The following is a 12,891-nucleotide window of genomic DNA, read 5'->3' as shown; positions in this document are numbered from 1 at the left end:
TGCCATGCTTTGTGTTAAACCACATGGTGTTCCAATATATCATCTGGCCCATTTAAACCGCATGGATAATTCATTTTTCAACACTCTGGTTATATATCATCTTAGCTGTCACTTCCATTAGCTGCTTACACACCTGCATGTAGCTCACACCAGGCTCCTTTTCTGCCGGTTCTGACATCACAAGTGGTGCTCATTAAGCACTAGAAAAACAGTTAAACAACAACAACAACCCTCCTTTGTTCTGCCTTACTGTATTTTACTTTTGGTTTCTGCTCAATGGAATTTAGTACCAGTTTTATTATAATGCCTGTCTAGGGGAACTCCGTTTTTCTTGCAAACTTTCAGAGCCTTTTCTTAGAGCAGAATAGAGATTTTACATTTATGTTCAATGGAGCTTGGGAGATATTAGGAAACTATCTTGGTGAGGTAGCACTAAAGGAGCCTGTAGTGAGACCCAGATTTCAACCTACCACCCCATGACAGATTATCTATTTTCAGCTTAGGTTTGCCACCAACACAATTCTTAGGCAGAGGAGAAACAAGAAACTGCATTCTTAGAGTCCTTCCTCATATGGTTCCTGTTTAGTGTCCGCCAAAAAGAGGCATTCATGTGAAATTTTGAAGACAGAAGGAAAAATGAACACAAGAGAGATTGATCTTAGATTTATACATTTGTGCATTCAACAAATAATTATTTCTATCCTACATGTGGTAGGCATTGTTCTATATCCTGAGGATATAGCCCTTATTCTCACAGAGTTTGTGTTCTGTGAGTGGGTGAGAAGACAAAAAACAAACAAAAAAAACACCAACAGGCAAGTGAAATATAAGTATATATTTCAGATCATGATCAGTGTTATGAAGGCAAAACAGAAGTAAGATAATATATTTTAGAGAAGATAGTAGGAATAGTATAATTTTTGTTCAAGGATGTTTTAAAGTTCTAAAGCATGTTCCACAATTGATTTTTCCAGGGAAATTTTAATTTCCTAAACCTTTCTGAAATTTTGTCTTGTTAATTATCCAAGTTTGAATTTATTTAGTTATCATGTGTTTCATGCGCGTCCGTGTGAAGAGACCAGCAAACAGGCTTTGTGTGAGAAACATGGCTGTTTATTTCACCTGGGTGCAGGCAGGCTGAGTCCAAAAAGAGAGTCAGTGAAGGGAGATAAGGGTGGGGCCGTTTTATAGGATTTGGGTAGGTAAAGGAAAATTACAGTCAAAGGGGGTTTGTTCTCTGGCGGGCAGGAGTGGGGGTCGCAAGGTGCTCAGTGGGGGTGCTTTTTGAGCCAGGATGAGCCAGGGAAAGGACTTTCACAAGGTAATGTTATCACTTAAGGCAAGGACCGGCCATTTACACTTCTTTTGTGGTGGAATGTCATCAGTTAAGGTGGGGCAGGGCATATTCACTTCTTTTGTGATTCTTCAGTTACTTCAGGCCATCTGGGCGTATACGTGCAAGTCACAGGGGATGCGATGGCTTGGTTTGGGCTCAGAGGCCTGACATTCCTGCCTTCTTATATTAATAAGAAAAATAAAACAAAATAGTGTTGAAGTGTTGGGGCGGCAAAAATTTTTGGGGGGTGGTATGGAGAGAGAATGGGCGATGTTTCTCAGGGCTGCTTCAAGCGGGATTAGGGGCAGCGTGGGAACCTAGAGTGGGAGAGATTAAGCTGAGGGGAGGTCTTGTGGTAAGGGGTGATATTGTGGGGATGTTAGAAGAAACAGTTGTTGTATAGAATGATTGATGATGGCCTGGATACGGTTTTGGATGAATTGAGAAACTAAATGGAATAACAGAAGGAGAAAAACAGGTATAAAATGTCTAAGAATTGGGACGACTCGGGATATCTGATTAGAGAGTGCCTAAGGAGATTCAGCATAGTCCTGCCAGCAAAGATTATTTATTTACTTCAAGAGTTAAGAGTGGCAGTCTGGGGATAGCACCAGGAGATATCAGCTGTGATGGCTTGGAAAAACAGTGTAAACTAGCAGTGTAAACAAGAGCAGGGCATGTATGAGTAGTTGAGAACGGTGAATAGGAGTATGACTAGAGAGAAGATAGCAGGGATGACAAGTTTTTTTTGGGGCACAGTCTGAGTTGGTCTGGTGTCTAGAATGAGACTGGGGCCTAATAAAAAGGAGCGTCTATACAGGAGCTCAAATGGGCTGTACCCTGTAGCATTCCGAGGACAGGCCTGAATTCTGAGAAGGGAAAGTGGTAAAAGTATTGTCCAGTCCTTTTTAAGTTGGTGGCTGAGCTTGGTGAGGTGTGTTTTTAAAAGACCTTTAGTCCATTCTACTTTTCTTGAAGACGGAGGACCATAAGGGATATAAAGGTTTCACTGAATACTAAGAGCCTGAAAAACTGCTTGGCTGTTTTGACTAATAAAGGCCCTTCTGTTATCAGACTGTATTGAGGTGGGAAGGCTAAACTGAGGAATTATGTCTGACAGAAGGGAAGAAATGACTGCGGTGGCCTTCTCAGACCCTGTAGGAAAGGCCTCTACCTATCCAGTGAAAGTATCTACCTAGACTAAGAGGTATTTTAGTTATCTGACTCAGGGCATGTTGAGTAAAGCTAATTTGCCAGTCCTGGGTGGGGCAAATCCTCGAGCTTGATGTGTAGGGAAGGGAGGGGGCCTGAAGAATCCCTGAGGAGTAGTAGAATAGCAGATGGAACACTGAGAAGTTATTTCCTTGAGGATAGGTTTCCACAATGGAAAGGAAATGAGAGGTTCTAAGAGGTGGGCTAGTGGCTTGTACTATAGCATAACCTGCCTTTGCTGGTGTGTGGCGATTAGGCCTGGTGGAACCGCCATCAATAAATCAAGCGTGATCAGGGTGAGGAACAGGAAAGAAGGAAATTTGGGGAAATGGGGTGAATGTCAGGTGGATCAGAGAGATACAGTCATGGGGGTCAGGTGTGGTATCAGGAATAATGTGGGAGGCCGGATTGAAGTCTGGGCCAGGAACAACGGTAATTGTGGGAGACTCAACAAAGAGTGAGTATAGCGGAAGGAGCCAGGAAGCAGAAAGTATATGTGTCAGGTATGAGAAAGAAAATAGATTTTGGAAGTTATGAGAAATGTAGAGAGTGAGTTGAGCATAGTTTGTGATCTTGAGGGCCTCTAAAAGTATTAATGCAGTGGCAGCCGCTGCACACAGACATGAGGGCTAGGCTAAAACAGTAAGGTCAAGTTTTTTGGACAGAAAGGCTACAGGGTGTGGTCCTGGCTCTTGTGTAAGAATTCTGACCACGCTAACCATGCCTAGGAAGGAAAGGAGTTGTTGTTTTGTAGAAGGTGCTGGGGTTTGAGAGATCAGTCGGACACGATTGGCAGGGAGAGCACGTGTGTTTTTATGAGAATTATGCCGAGATAGGTAACAGATGAGGAAGAAATTTGGGCTTGATTGAAGTAATGGGGGCTGTCTGTGAAGCTTTGCAGCAGTACAGCCTAGGTAATTTCCTGAGCTTGATGGGTGTCAGGGTCAGTCCAAGTGGAAGTGAAGAGAGGCTGGGATTAAGGTGCAAAGGAATAGTAAAGAAAGCATGTTTGAGATCTAGAACAGAATAATGGGTTATAGAGGCAGGTATTGAGGATAGGAGAGTATGTGGGTTTGGCACCACGGGGTGGATAGGCAAAACAATTTGGTTGATAAGGTGCAGATCCTGAACTAACTTGTAAGGCTTGTCTGGTTTTAGGACAGGTAAAATGGGGGAATTGTAAGGAGAGTTTATAGGCTTTAAAAGGCCATGCTGTAGCAGGCTAGTGATAACAGGCTTTAATCTTTCTAAAGCGTGCTGCGGGATGCGATATTGGCGTTGAGTGGGGTAAGGGTGATTAGGTTTTAATGAGATGGTAAGAGGTGCATGATCGGTCGCCAAGGAGGGAGTAGAGGTATCTTATACTTGTGGGTTAAGGCTGGGGGATACAAGAGGAGGACGCAAAGGAGGCTTTGGATTGGGAAGAAGGGCGGCAATGAGATATAGCTGTAGTCCAGGAATAGTCAGGGAAGCAGATAATTTAGTTAAAGTGTCTCAGCCTAATAAGGGAACTGGGCAGGTGGGGATAACTAAAAAGGAGTGATTAAAAGAGTATTGTCTAAGTTGGCAGCAGAGTTGGGGAGTTTTAAGAGGTTTAGAAGCCTGGCCGTCAATACCCACAACAGTTATGGAGGCAAGGGAAACAGGCCTTTGAAAAGAAGGTAATGTGGAGTGGGTAGCCTCTGTATTGATTAAGAAGGGGACGTGCTTACCTTCCACTGTGAGAGTTACCCGAAGCTCAGCGTCCGTGATGGTCTAGGGGCTTCCGAGGCGATCGGGCAGTGTCAGTCTTCAGCCGCTAAGCTGAGAAGATCTGGGAAGGAGTCAGTCAGCGAGCCTTGGGCCAGAGTTCCAGGGACTCTGGGAGTGGCTGCCAGGTGAGTTGAACAGTCCGATTTTCCGTGGGGTCCCACACAGATGGGACGTGGCTTAGGAGGAATCCCAGGCAGCGGGCATTCCTTGGCCCAGGGGCCCGATTTCCGGCATGTGTAGCAAGCTCCTGTGGGAGGAGGTTCTGGAGGAATGCCTGGCCACTGCAGTTCAGGCGTTTGGAAGTTCTTATGTGCTGGAGATGTGGCTGGGGTTTGTCTCACAGTGGAGGCAAGGAATTGCAACTTTTTTCTATTATTGTACACCTTGAAGGTGAGGTTAATTAAATCCTGTTGTGGGGTTTGAGGGCCGGAATTTAATTTTTGGAGTTTTACTTAATGTTGGGAGCAGATTGGGTAATAAAATGTATTTTGAGAATAAGACGGCCTTTTGACTTTTTAGGGTCTAGGGCTGTAAAGTGTCTCAGGGTTGCTGCCAAACAAGTCATGAACTGGGCTGGATTTTTATATTCGATGAAAAAGAGCCTAAACGCTATCTGATTTGGGATAAAGAAAAAGGAGCATTAATCTTGACTATGCCTTTAGCTCCAGCCACCTTTTTAAGAGTAAATTGCCGGGCAGGTGGGGGATGGCTAGTCACGGAAGAAACTGTAAGCCGGACTAGGTGTGAGGAGGGGAGGTGATAAAAAGATTATAGGGTGGAGGAGGGGAGGCTGAGGAAGAATTGGGACCTAGCTCGGCCTGGCGAGGAGCAGCCTGGGGAGGAAGGGAGAGGTTAGGTGGGTCTGTAGAAAAGGAAGATTAGAAAGACTCAGCGACGCTTGGGGTTGGTACTGAGGGGACAGGCGGGAGGGAAAGAAGAAAGATTTGGAGAGACTAGGAAGGGACTGATACGTAAAAGAATGCCTGGACGTCAGGCACCTCAGACCGTTTGCCTATTTTACGACAAGAATTATTTAGATTTTGCAGGATGGAAAAATTCAAAGTGCCATTTTCTGGCTATGTGGAACTACTGTCAAGGTTGTATTGGGGTCAAGCGGCATTGCAGAAGAAAAGGCATTTAGGTTTTAGGTCAGGTGTGAGTTGAAGAGGTTTTAAGTTTTTGAGAACACAGGCTAAGGGAGAAGAAGGAGGAATGGAAGGTGGAAGCTTACCCATAGTGAAGGAGGCAAGCCCAGAGAAAAGAGTAGAGACACGGAGAAGGGGTGGAGGGTTCTTGCCCTCCAGAAAAGCAGAGAAGGGGGTTGGGGCACGGAAATAAGTGACTGGGGCACAGAGATAAGAGGTCAGGGTGTGGAAATAAGGGATTGGGGCACAGAGATAAGAGGTTGGGGTGCGGAAATAAGCGATTGGGGGTTTCTTGCCCCCTAGGAAAGCAGGACTTGCCGCTAAGGGTGAAGGAGAAGGGGTTGAGGGGTACTTGCCCCTCTCCCAGAAAAGCAGAGAAGGGGTAGAGACAAGGAGAGAAGTGGTTGAGGTACTTGCCCCTTCCCCAGAAAAGCGGGACTTGCCGCTAAGGGTGAAGGACAAAGGCAGGTGTCCCTGCGTGGTCTGACACCCTTGAAACGTGGGTGTATAATCAGAGAGGCGTCCCTGCAATGATTAAACACCAAGGGAAGGCGGCCTTCCCAGTCCGTGACCAGGCCGGAGTTTTGGGTCCACAGGTAAAACGTGTCTCCTTTGTCTTTCCCAGAAAATGAAAGGAATTGAAATTAAGAGAAGGGAGAGATTGAAGAGTGGAAAGGAGAAAGTGGTTGAGGGACAGTGAGAGAGGTTGGAGAAGAGAGTAAGAAGAGGCCGCTTACCTGATTTAAGATTGGTGAGATGTTCCTTGGGCTGGTCGGTCTGAGGACCTGAGGTCATAGGTGGATCTTTCTCACGGAGCACAGAACAGGAGGACAGGGGATTGATCTCCCAAGGGAGGTCCCCCAATCCGAGTTGCGGCACCAAATTTCATGCACGTCTGTGTGAATAGACCATCAAACAGGCTTTGTGTGAGCAACATGGCTGTTTATTTCACCTGGGTGCAGGCAGGCTGAGTCCGAAAAGAGAGTCAGTGAAGGGAGATAAGGGTGGGGCGGTTTTATAGGATTTGGGTAGGTAAAGGAAAATTACAGTCAAAGGGGGTTTGTTCTCTGGCGGGCAGGAGTGGGGGTCGCAAGGTGCTCAGTGGGGGTGCTTTTTGAGCCAGGATGAGCCAGGGAAAGGACTTTTACAAGGTAATGTCATCACTTAAGGCAAGGACCGGCCATTTACACTTCTTTTGTGGTGGAATGTCATCAGTTAAGGTGGGGCAGGGCATATTCACTTCTTTTGTGATTCTTCAGTTACTTCAGGCCATCTGGGCGTATACGTGCAAGTCACAGGGGATGCGATGGCTTGGCTTGGGCTCAGAGGCCTGACAATGTGTTTATGCGGTTATCAGTGGTTTCTTTAAATAGTCTTTGTTAGTATATCCAGTAAGGGCTGCTAAACACTGTCAGTCTATTTTCTGTAGCATATAACAAAATACCTGAAACTGGATAATTTATAAAGAAAAGGAATTTATTTCTTACAGTTATGGAGGCTGAGAAGTCCAAGGGCAGGAGGTCGCATCTGGTGAGAGCCTTCTTGCTGGTGGGAACTCTCTGAAGGGTCCCAAGGTAGTGCAGGGGATCACATGGGAGGAGGTTGAGTGTGCTAACATGCTAGCTCAGGTCTCTCTTCGTTTTCTTGTAAAGCCACCAATTCCTGTCCCATGATAACCCATTAACCCATTAATCCATTAATCTGTGAATGGGTTAATCCATTCATGAGAGCAGAGCCTTCATGATCCAGTCACTTCTTAAAAATTCATTTCTCAATGCAAGCACATTGAGGATGAAATTCCAACATGAGTTTTGGAGGGGACATTTAAGCCATAGCACTGATATTATGATCAGAGTGATGTCTTGATCTCTTTGTTGAGATGCTGGTTTGTTTGTTTGTTTGTTTTTAGTTCTGACAGCCTGTCACACTCTCCATTTCCATAAACCCTGTTGATTGAGGAAAGAAATGGAATTTTAAAGGAGTCACCATAAGTTACCAATGGGGACTATGATTGTGTTTCACCAGTTTGCTTTCCTAAGTTTTATATGAATTTATTAGCATGCTCTCCCCCAGGTCAACTGTGTCCTGTATAAGATTCTATAGGAATGTGGTAACATAAGCATATATCTCAAGAACATTCTGGATTGACTCAAATATGGGAGAGTTTACCCAAGGTCTGTCTATCCCTCTCCTTAGGAAGTGATAAACAAGCATGAGGCCTTACTTCTATAGATAGAATTGAGCATATCTGCTTTGGAGATTGACTTTGATTTATGGTTGGGTGCATAGAGTGTGTCCTAGGGCATCAAGCTGTAATTGCACTCCTTCAAAGTGCACTGTTGTGCTCTCATCCTTCAAATAAAGGGGAGCTGCATAATTCTCTGTGTTTATTTAACTTATGATTTATTTCTTTTGAAAGGATTATGTCTTTTGTTAAAACATTCTTTTCAGGGGAGATGGAGATTTAAGGAATAAAGAAGCTTTAGTCTTAGGAGGCTGCTCTTTTCTGTTAATTCTGCTTACCTGTAGAATCCTTTTATTTAGAAAAGAATTCCATATTATTACAGGAAAGGGGCCCAATCCAGACCCTAAGAGAGTGTTCTTGGATCTCATGCAAGAAAGAATTCAGGGCAAGTTCATAGAGTAAAGTGAAAGCAAGTTTGTTGAGAAAGTAAAGAAATAAAAGAATGGGTACTCCATAGAAAGAGTAGCCCTGAGGGCTGCTGGTTGCCCACTTTTATGGTTGTTTCTTGATTTTATGCTAAACAAGGGTGCACGCCTCCCCTTTTTAGACCATATAGGGTAACTTCCTGATGTCACCATGGCATTTGTAAACTGTCGTGATGCTGGTGGGTGGGTAGCAGTGAGGACAAACAGAGGTCACTCTTGTGGCCATCATGGTTTTGGTGGGTTTTAGCTGGCTTCTTTATGGCAACCTATTTTATCAGCAAGGTCTTTATGACCTGTATTTGTAGCGACGTTCTATTTCACCCTGTGACCCCTTCGAATGCCTTAACCATCTGGGAATGCAGCCCAGTAGGTCTCAACTTTATTTTACCCAGCTCTTATTCAAGATGGAGTTTCTCTGGTTCACATGCCTCTGACAATATGTCTTATATGACATTTGGCCACTTTGAGGCCTATAGTAAAAATTGTTTTAAAAATTCTCCTCTCACCTTTATCACCTGCCACCATATCTTCCCTACCTTTCACATCAAATTAAGATTACATACTTAAGTGTGCTAGAAAAATTGTCCTTTTCTTTCCAGTTCAGCTTTGATAAATGAAGCAAAGAGAGTTGGATTTTAGTGTAGGCTCTGAGTTTGATGTGGTAACCTGGGGCCAGACACTTATCTCTCATGTGAGGGTCTGAGTCACATTGTCTTGTGTGTGGAAGGAGGAGATTATATTAGAACATCAGTTCTTAAAGATTGTCTTCTTAGGACAACTTTACACTCCAGAAGTAGGGTCCTATAGAGCTCAGCCTGAATTCCACTGGCAGCTTCCTTGGATCTCCAGCTTGCAGATGACATATTGTGGGACTGTTCAGCCTCCATAATTATGTGAGCTATTTCATATTGTAAGTCCTATCTTATCTGTCTATATCCGATTGTTTCTGTTTTTTCTGGAGAACCCTGGCTAATACAAATATTAAATAGATTATTTTTCAAGTAATATATGAATGATATATTTACAATGCAGTGTTTTGGTAGAGGCTGTGTATGTTTTCTTTTAAAAAAAGCAAAGCCATTCTTGAACTAATTAAATGGTTTGGAATTTAGTTTTCGGCCAAATTAACAGGAAAAATAAAGTTAAAAAAGGTAGAATGAAAAGAAAATTAATTCCCTAGCTCCCTCCTTTTGACGAACCTGTTTGATCTCCCTCTGTTATTTTTTTCCAGTTGTTAATATTTACATATCTAAAAAGTGGATTTGTTAAAAAAATGTTCTCCAAAGTACAGTTGCTGAAGATGACACATTGTAAAGTAGACAACAAGTTAGGGCTCTTGTTCCTGTTTTTCTCTTCCTCAAAGACGCATCCAAGTGTGCAATCAGAGCTAGCTAGAATGGCAATTTAATGATGGTGAAGATGGCTTTTTTTATGTTTTGTTCCTCTGCCATCTTCAAGCTGTTTCTCTCATTTGCATGGTTAAAGATTAGTATCCTAACCACCTTCCAGCCATTAAAGGTAGAGGATCCGAAGAGCAGGACAATACAAATCAGGAAGTATCCTGTTTTACTTAAGCTCACCTTCCATTTGCCAGAATTTATTTCCATGGCCATGTAGGGGCAAAAAGAATTTTTCTTCATCTCCTTTTGAAGGTTCAATAATCTGAGTCTATAAAATAAATGGACAATAGGGAGATCAACAGGAGAAAATGCATACAGATTTATTACATGCACACCTGTGCAAAGGAGACACGCAAAATGTGAGACTCAAAGAACGGCCAGATAAATGAAGTTTTCATATCCTACAGAAAGGAATAAGGGCTTGGGGCTTCTGGAGGGTGGTGGCAAAAGATTATAGAAAGGTCAGTGGAGGAAACACATGGTAAGCAACACTGTCTTGTTATGAAATCTCTTAGATAAAAGTAGTCAGAATGGGCGGCTCTCTGTGACAATCTTAGTTTTGGGGAGATGTCAGAACATCATGTCTCCTTAGAGAGATAAATGGAGCTCCAAAAGAAACCTCTGCTTGCATCCACTGTTTACCTTAGTAAGGTAGAAACATGTAAATTTCGTTTACAACAGGACAGTTTTTCGGAGCTATTCCTATTTTCAGGTCTCTGGATTTCCAATTCAAAATATGCCAAAGAAGTTTATTCTGGTCTTCCAGAGTTTTCCTTTTGAAACTTTATTTTCAGAAAGTTTCATTTATTAAAACCTCCTATCAGTCTTGTAGTCCTGATAATTAAGTTAGTTCTGTCCTGAGAATAGGTCAGTTCAGTTAAATAGTTGTGTCTCATTTGAGGAACTGGCGTTGCAGTTGGGCTCCCAAAGTTAGGCCTCTATATCTTTCAATAAAACAGGTATTTAATAAGAGACATTTCTAAGGAAACAAAATGAAAACAAAGGTTAATGCTTGAAGCAGTCTAAAAACTAACATTTGAGTTTGAAGGGCAGCCAGCTGAGATTTCTAGATGTTGGCTCAAAGCATCTTCAGTGAAAGCAAAAGCAGACAATGGCAATCTGACAGATTTTCCTGATTTGCAGTTTAAATGCAGCTGACGTAGTAATTTCTCTGAGTGTATTTATCAAGTTGACCAGTTTTCTGCTTGCAAGGTTTTAATGTTTGTGATTCCAAGTCAGAAGAATGGGAGAAAAATTGGTAAAATTAGTTTGGAGACTTACAGCCAAAAAAAATTTAGAATCCAGTCCTAATTGCAGGTAAAGAAAAATCTCAAAAATAATGAGCAGGGTTGAAATATAATAATGATTGTACTATATAGCTTTCTTCTGAAACCTAATTTTTCCTCTTTCCATTCACACCAGTTTGCATAAAAGATAATCATAATAAGATGAATTTATTTGCAAAATGAGTTTAGTCTCATTGAATGTGGCCTGATTATTTGCATAAGGTGCCACAAGAATGATGATTGACCATATAGGCTCTTTTAAAATTTTGTTTTGCTGGAATTTTTCATAAGGAATCTCAGATTAGGCCTTTAAAAACCACTCATTGCTATGAAGCTAAGCCAAGAACTTGCCATCAGGTTTTACCTGTATTACCTAGGGAAATTCCTATCTTCTTGAGGTTTCTAAAATACTCTGAAGTTCCTTGAACTGTCGGGAAGTAACATTCTTTACTTAATGCAAGGCTGGGAACCCTGTAAGAAAAGCATGTATTCAAGATACCAGGCCAGTTTTCCAAGGGCTTCTATTGGCTTCATAAAGTCAACCTCAGTTTCTCAAGGCTGTCTGAGCATATCTAAGAATATGACATTCCAGTCACTATCTTGGTAATGTAACCAGTGTTACCAATTGTCCTGTTACAAAGAGCAGAGATTCTTATTGAACTTATGTGGATAAAAATATTGCCATAAAGTAAGAATACTGATGAATGGTTTCCATATTTTGGATAAATTAGGCAGGGAGAAAAATATAAATGTTTAAATTCTGTTTATAAAAGCATATGTTACCAGATTGCTGTAAGCTATAGAAAGCTTAAAAGAAAAAAGTTTCCTTAAATCTAGAAAACAAAACACAAAAAGAAACAGCAATGTTTCAAACAAAAGTCATAAAATATAGTCCTTCATCAGTTCAGTCCCACATAATTAATTTTTCTTTCTTCTTATCAGATAATTAATTATTTCTTTAATGCAAATTTTGGGCTCATAAAACTAGATGTTGGGTTAGCAGTTTTATGAGTCCTTTGTTAAAAAATTATTATTAGAGTTCTAGAAATCTTACCCAGTCTAATAATATGGTTTAAAGTCATCAGAAAGTGTTTCAGAGTACCTGCCAGAGTCCTTACCATAAATTTTTTGAAGAAGCAATTTCGCGCTGTAGCTAATTGCAAAACATTTATAGAGATGAGTCAATGCCATTATCTGTAGATGACAAAAACTTAGAATGGCAATGGCTAAAAATCAAATGAGTTTACTATAAATAGCCATTGATTAAAAAAGTGGTTATTTTTTTCACGTAGAAAACTATAACAAAATAACCAGAATTATGACTGACAAAATATCAGAATTCTAGAAATTTCATACAATTTTGGATTACTCATATCAATAACATACCCATATAAATATCACTCAAAGAATGTTAAATATCATTTCCAATTTTACAGTGCTTACTATATAATTTATATTAAATAGACCTAATTGGTTTAATATCTCTCTTTTGGACTTCTAGGGGTCATTCCAGAATACCCAAAAGGTACTTGAAAGCCAAAAAAACCTTAATTTTGATTTTGGGAAGTTTGTCAGAAATAAAGGTTCTAAACACTTCATCAAAATAGAATTATAGGTTACTGCAAAATAAGTCATTCTTTTAATCAGAGTGAGAATTAAAACATTTTAAAAGCAAACACAGGAAGTTACATAGTTGTAAAAAACAAGAACAAAGCAAAACAAAAAACCTTTACTCTTTGATAGAGAGAAGAGAAGCAGTTTTTCCAAGTAATCAAAAGACAGGATGCAGTACACAGAATCTGTTTCTCTCTCCCCCCTTTTTTTTTCTTTTTGCAGTTCTCTGAAAAAGGTAAACAAAAATTTTTTTTTTATCATTCCCTATCAATACTAAACAAAAATCTTGTTTAAAAGAGAGGACCAAATTCTAGTTTTATATTAGTCTCCTTTTGATATTAAGGCTAATTTAAAAAAAACATAAATAATTTCTTTTTATTCTTAGTCAACTTAATCATACTTAAATTCTTCTTTATAAGAATCATCTTTCATACACCTTTCATAACCTATCCATTCAGTTTTATCAATATCACTCT

General features: G+C 41.0%; 5 annotated features.

Moving 5' to 3' along the window:
- Positions 544–1,376: an enhancer, noted in NCBI's record as "OCT4-NANOG-H3K27ac hESC enhancer chr8:116229887-116230719 (GRCh37/hg19 assembly coordinates)". NCBI's record gives its function as "activates a minimal SCP1, AML or CMV promoter by ChIP-STARR-seq in naive and primed H9 embryonic stem cells {active_cell/tissue: H9 hESC(naive and primed)}" and the evidence as "EXISTENCE:reporter gene assay evidence [ECO:0000049][PMID:30033119]".
- Positions 1,377–2,210: an enhancer, noted in NCBI's record as "OCT4-NANOG-H3K27ac hESC enhancer chr8:116229053-116229886 (GRCh37/hg19 assembly coordinates)". NCBI's record gives its function as "activates a minimal SCP1, AML or CMV promoter by ChIP-STARR-seq in naive and primed H9 embryonic stem cells {active_cell/tissue: H9 hESC(naive and primed)}" and the evidence as "EXISTENCE:reporter gene assay evidence [ECO:0000049][PMID:30033119]".
- Positions 5,899–6,508: an enhancer, noted in NCBI's record as "OCT4-NANOG-H3K27ac hESC enhancer chr8:116224755-116225364 (GRCh37/hg19 assembly coordinates)". NCBI's record gives its function as "activates a minimal SCP1, AML or CMV promoter by ChIP-STARR-seq in primed H9 embryonic stem cells {active_cell/tissue: H9 hESC(primed)}" and the evidence as "EXISTENCE:reporter gene assay evidence [ECO:0000049][PMID:30033119]".
- Positions 6,509–7,118: an enhancer, noted in NCBI's record as "OCT4-NANOG-H3K27ac hESC enhancer chr8:116224145-116224754 (GRCh37/hg19 assembly coordinates)". NCBI's record gives its function as "activates a minimal SCP1, AML or CMV promoter by ChIP-STARR-seq in naive and primed H9 embryonic stem cells {active_cell/tissue: H9 hESC(naive and primed)}" and the evidence as "EXISTENCE:reporter gene assay evidence [ECO:0000049][PMID:30033119]".
- Positions 9,294–9,838: an enhancer, noted in NCBI's record as "OCT4-NANOG hESC enhancer chr8:116221425-116221969 (GRCh37/hg19 assembly coordinates)". NCBI's record gives its function as "activates a minimal SCP1, AML or CMV promoter by ChIP-STARR-seq in primed H9 embryonic stem cells {active_cell/tissue: H9 hESC(primed)}" and the evidence as "EXISTENCE:reporter gene assay evidence [ECO:0000049][PMID:30033119]".

The sequence above is a fragment of the Homo sapiens genome, chromosome 8, assembly GCF_000001405.40.
Source record: "Homo sapiens chromosome 8, GRCh38.p14 Primary Assembly".
Taxonomy (NCBI): domain Eukaryota; kingdom Metazoa; phylum Chordata; class Mammalia; order Primates; family Hominidae; genus Homo; species Homo sapiens.
The sequence above is the reverse complement of the archived record's forward strand: the minus strand, read 5'-3'. Positions and strand labels throughout refer to the sequence as shown.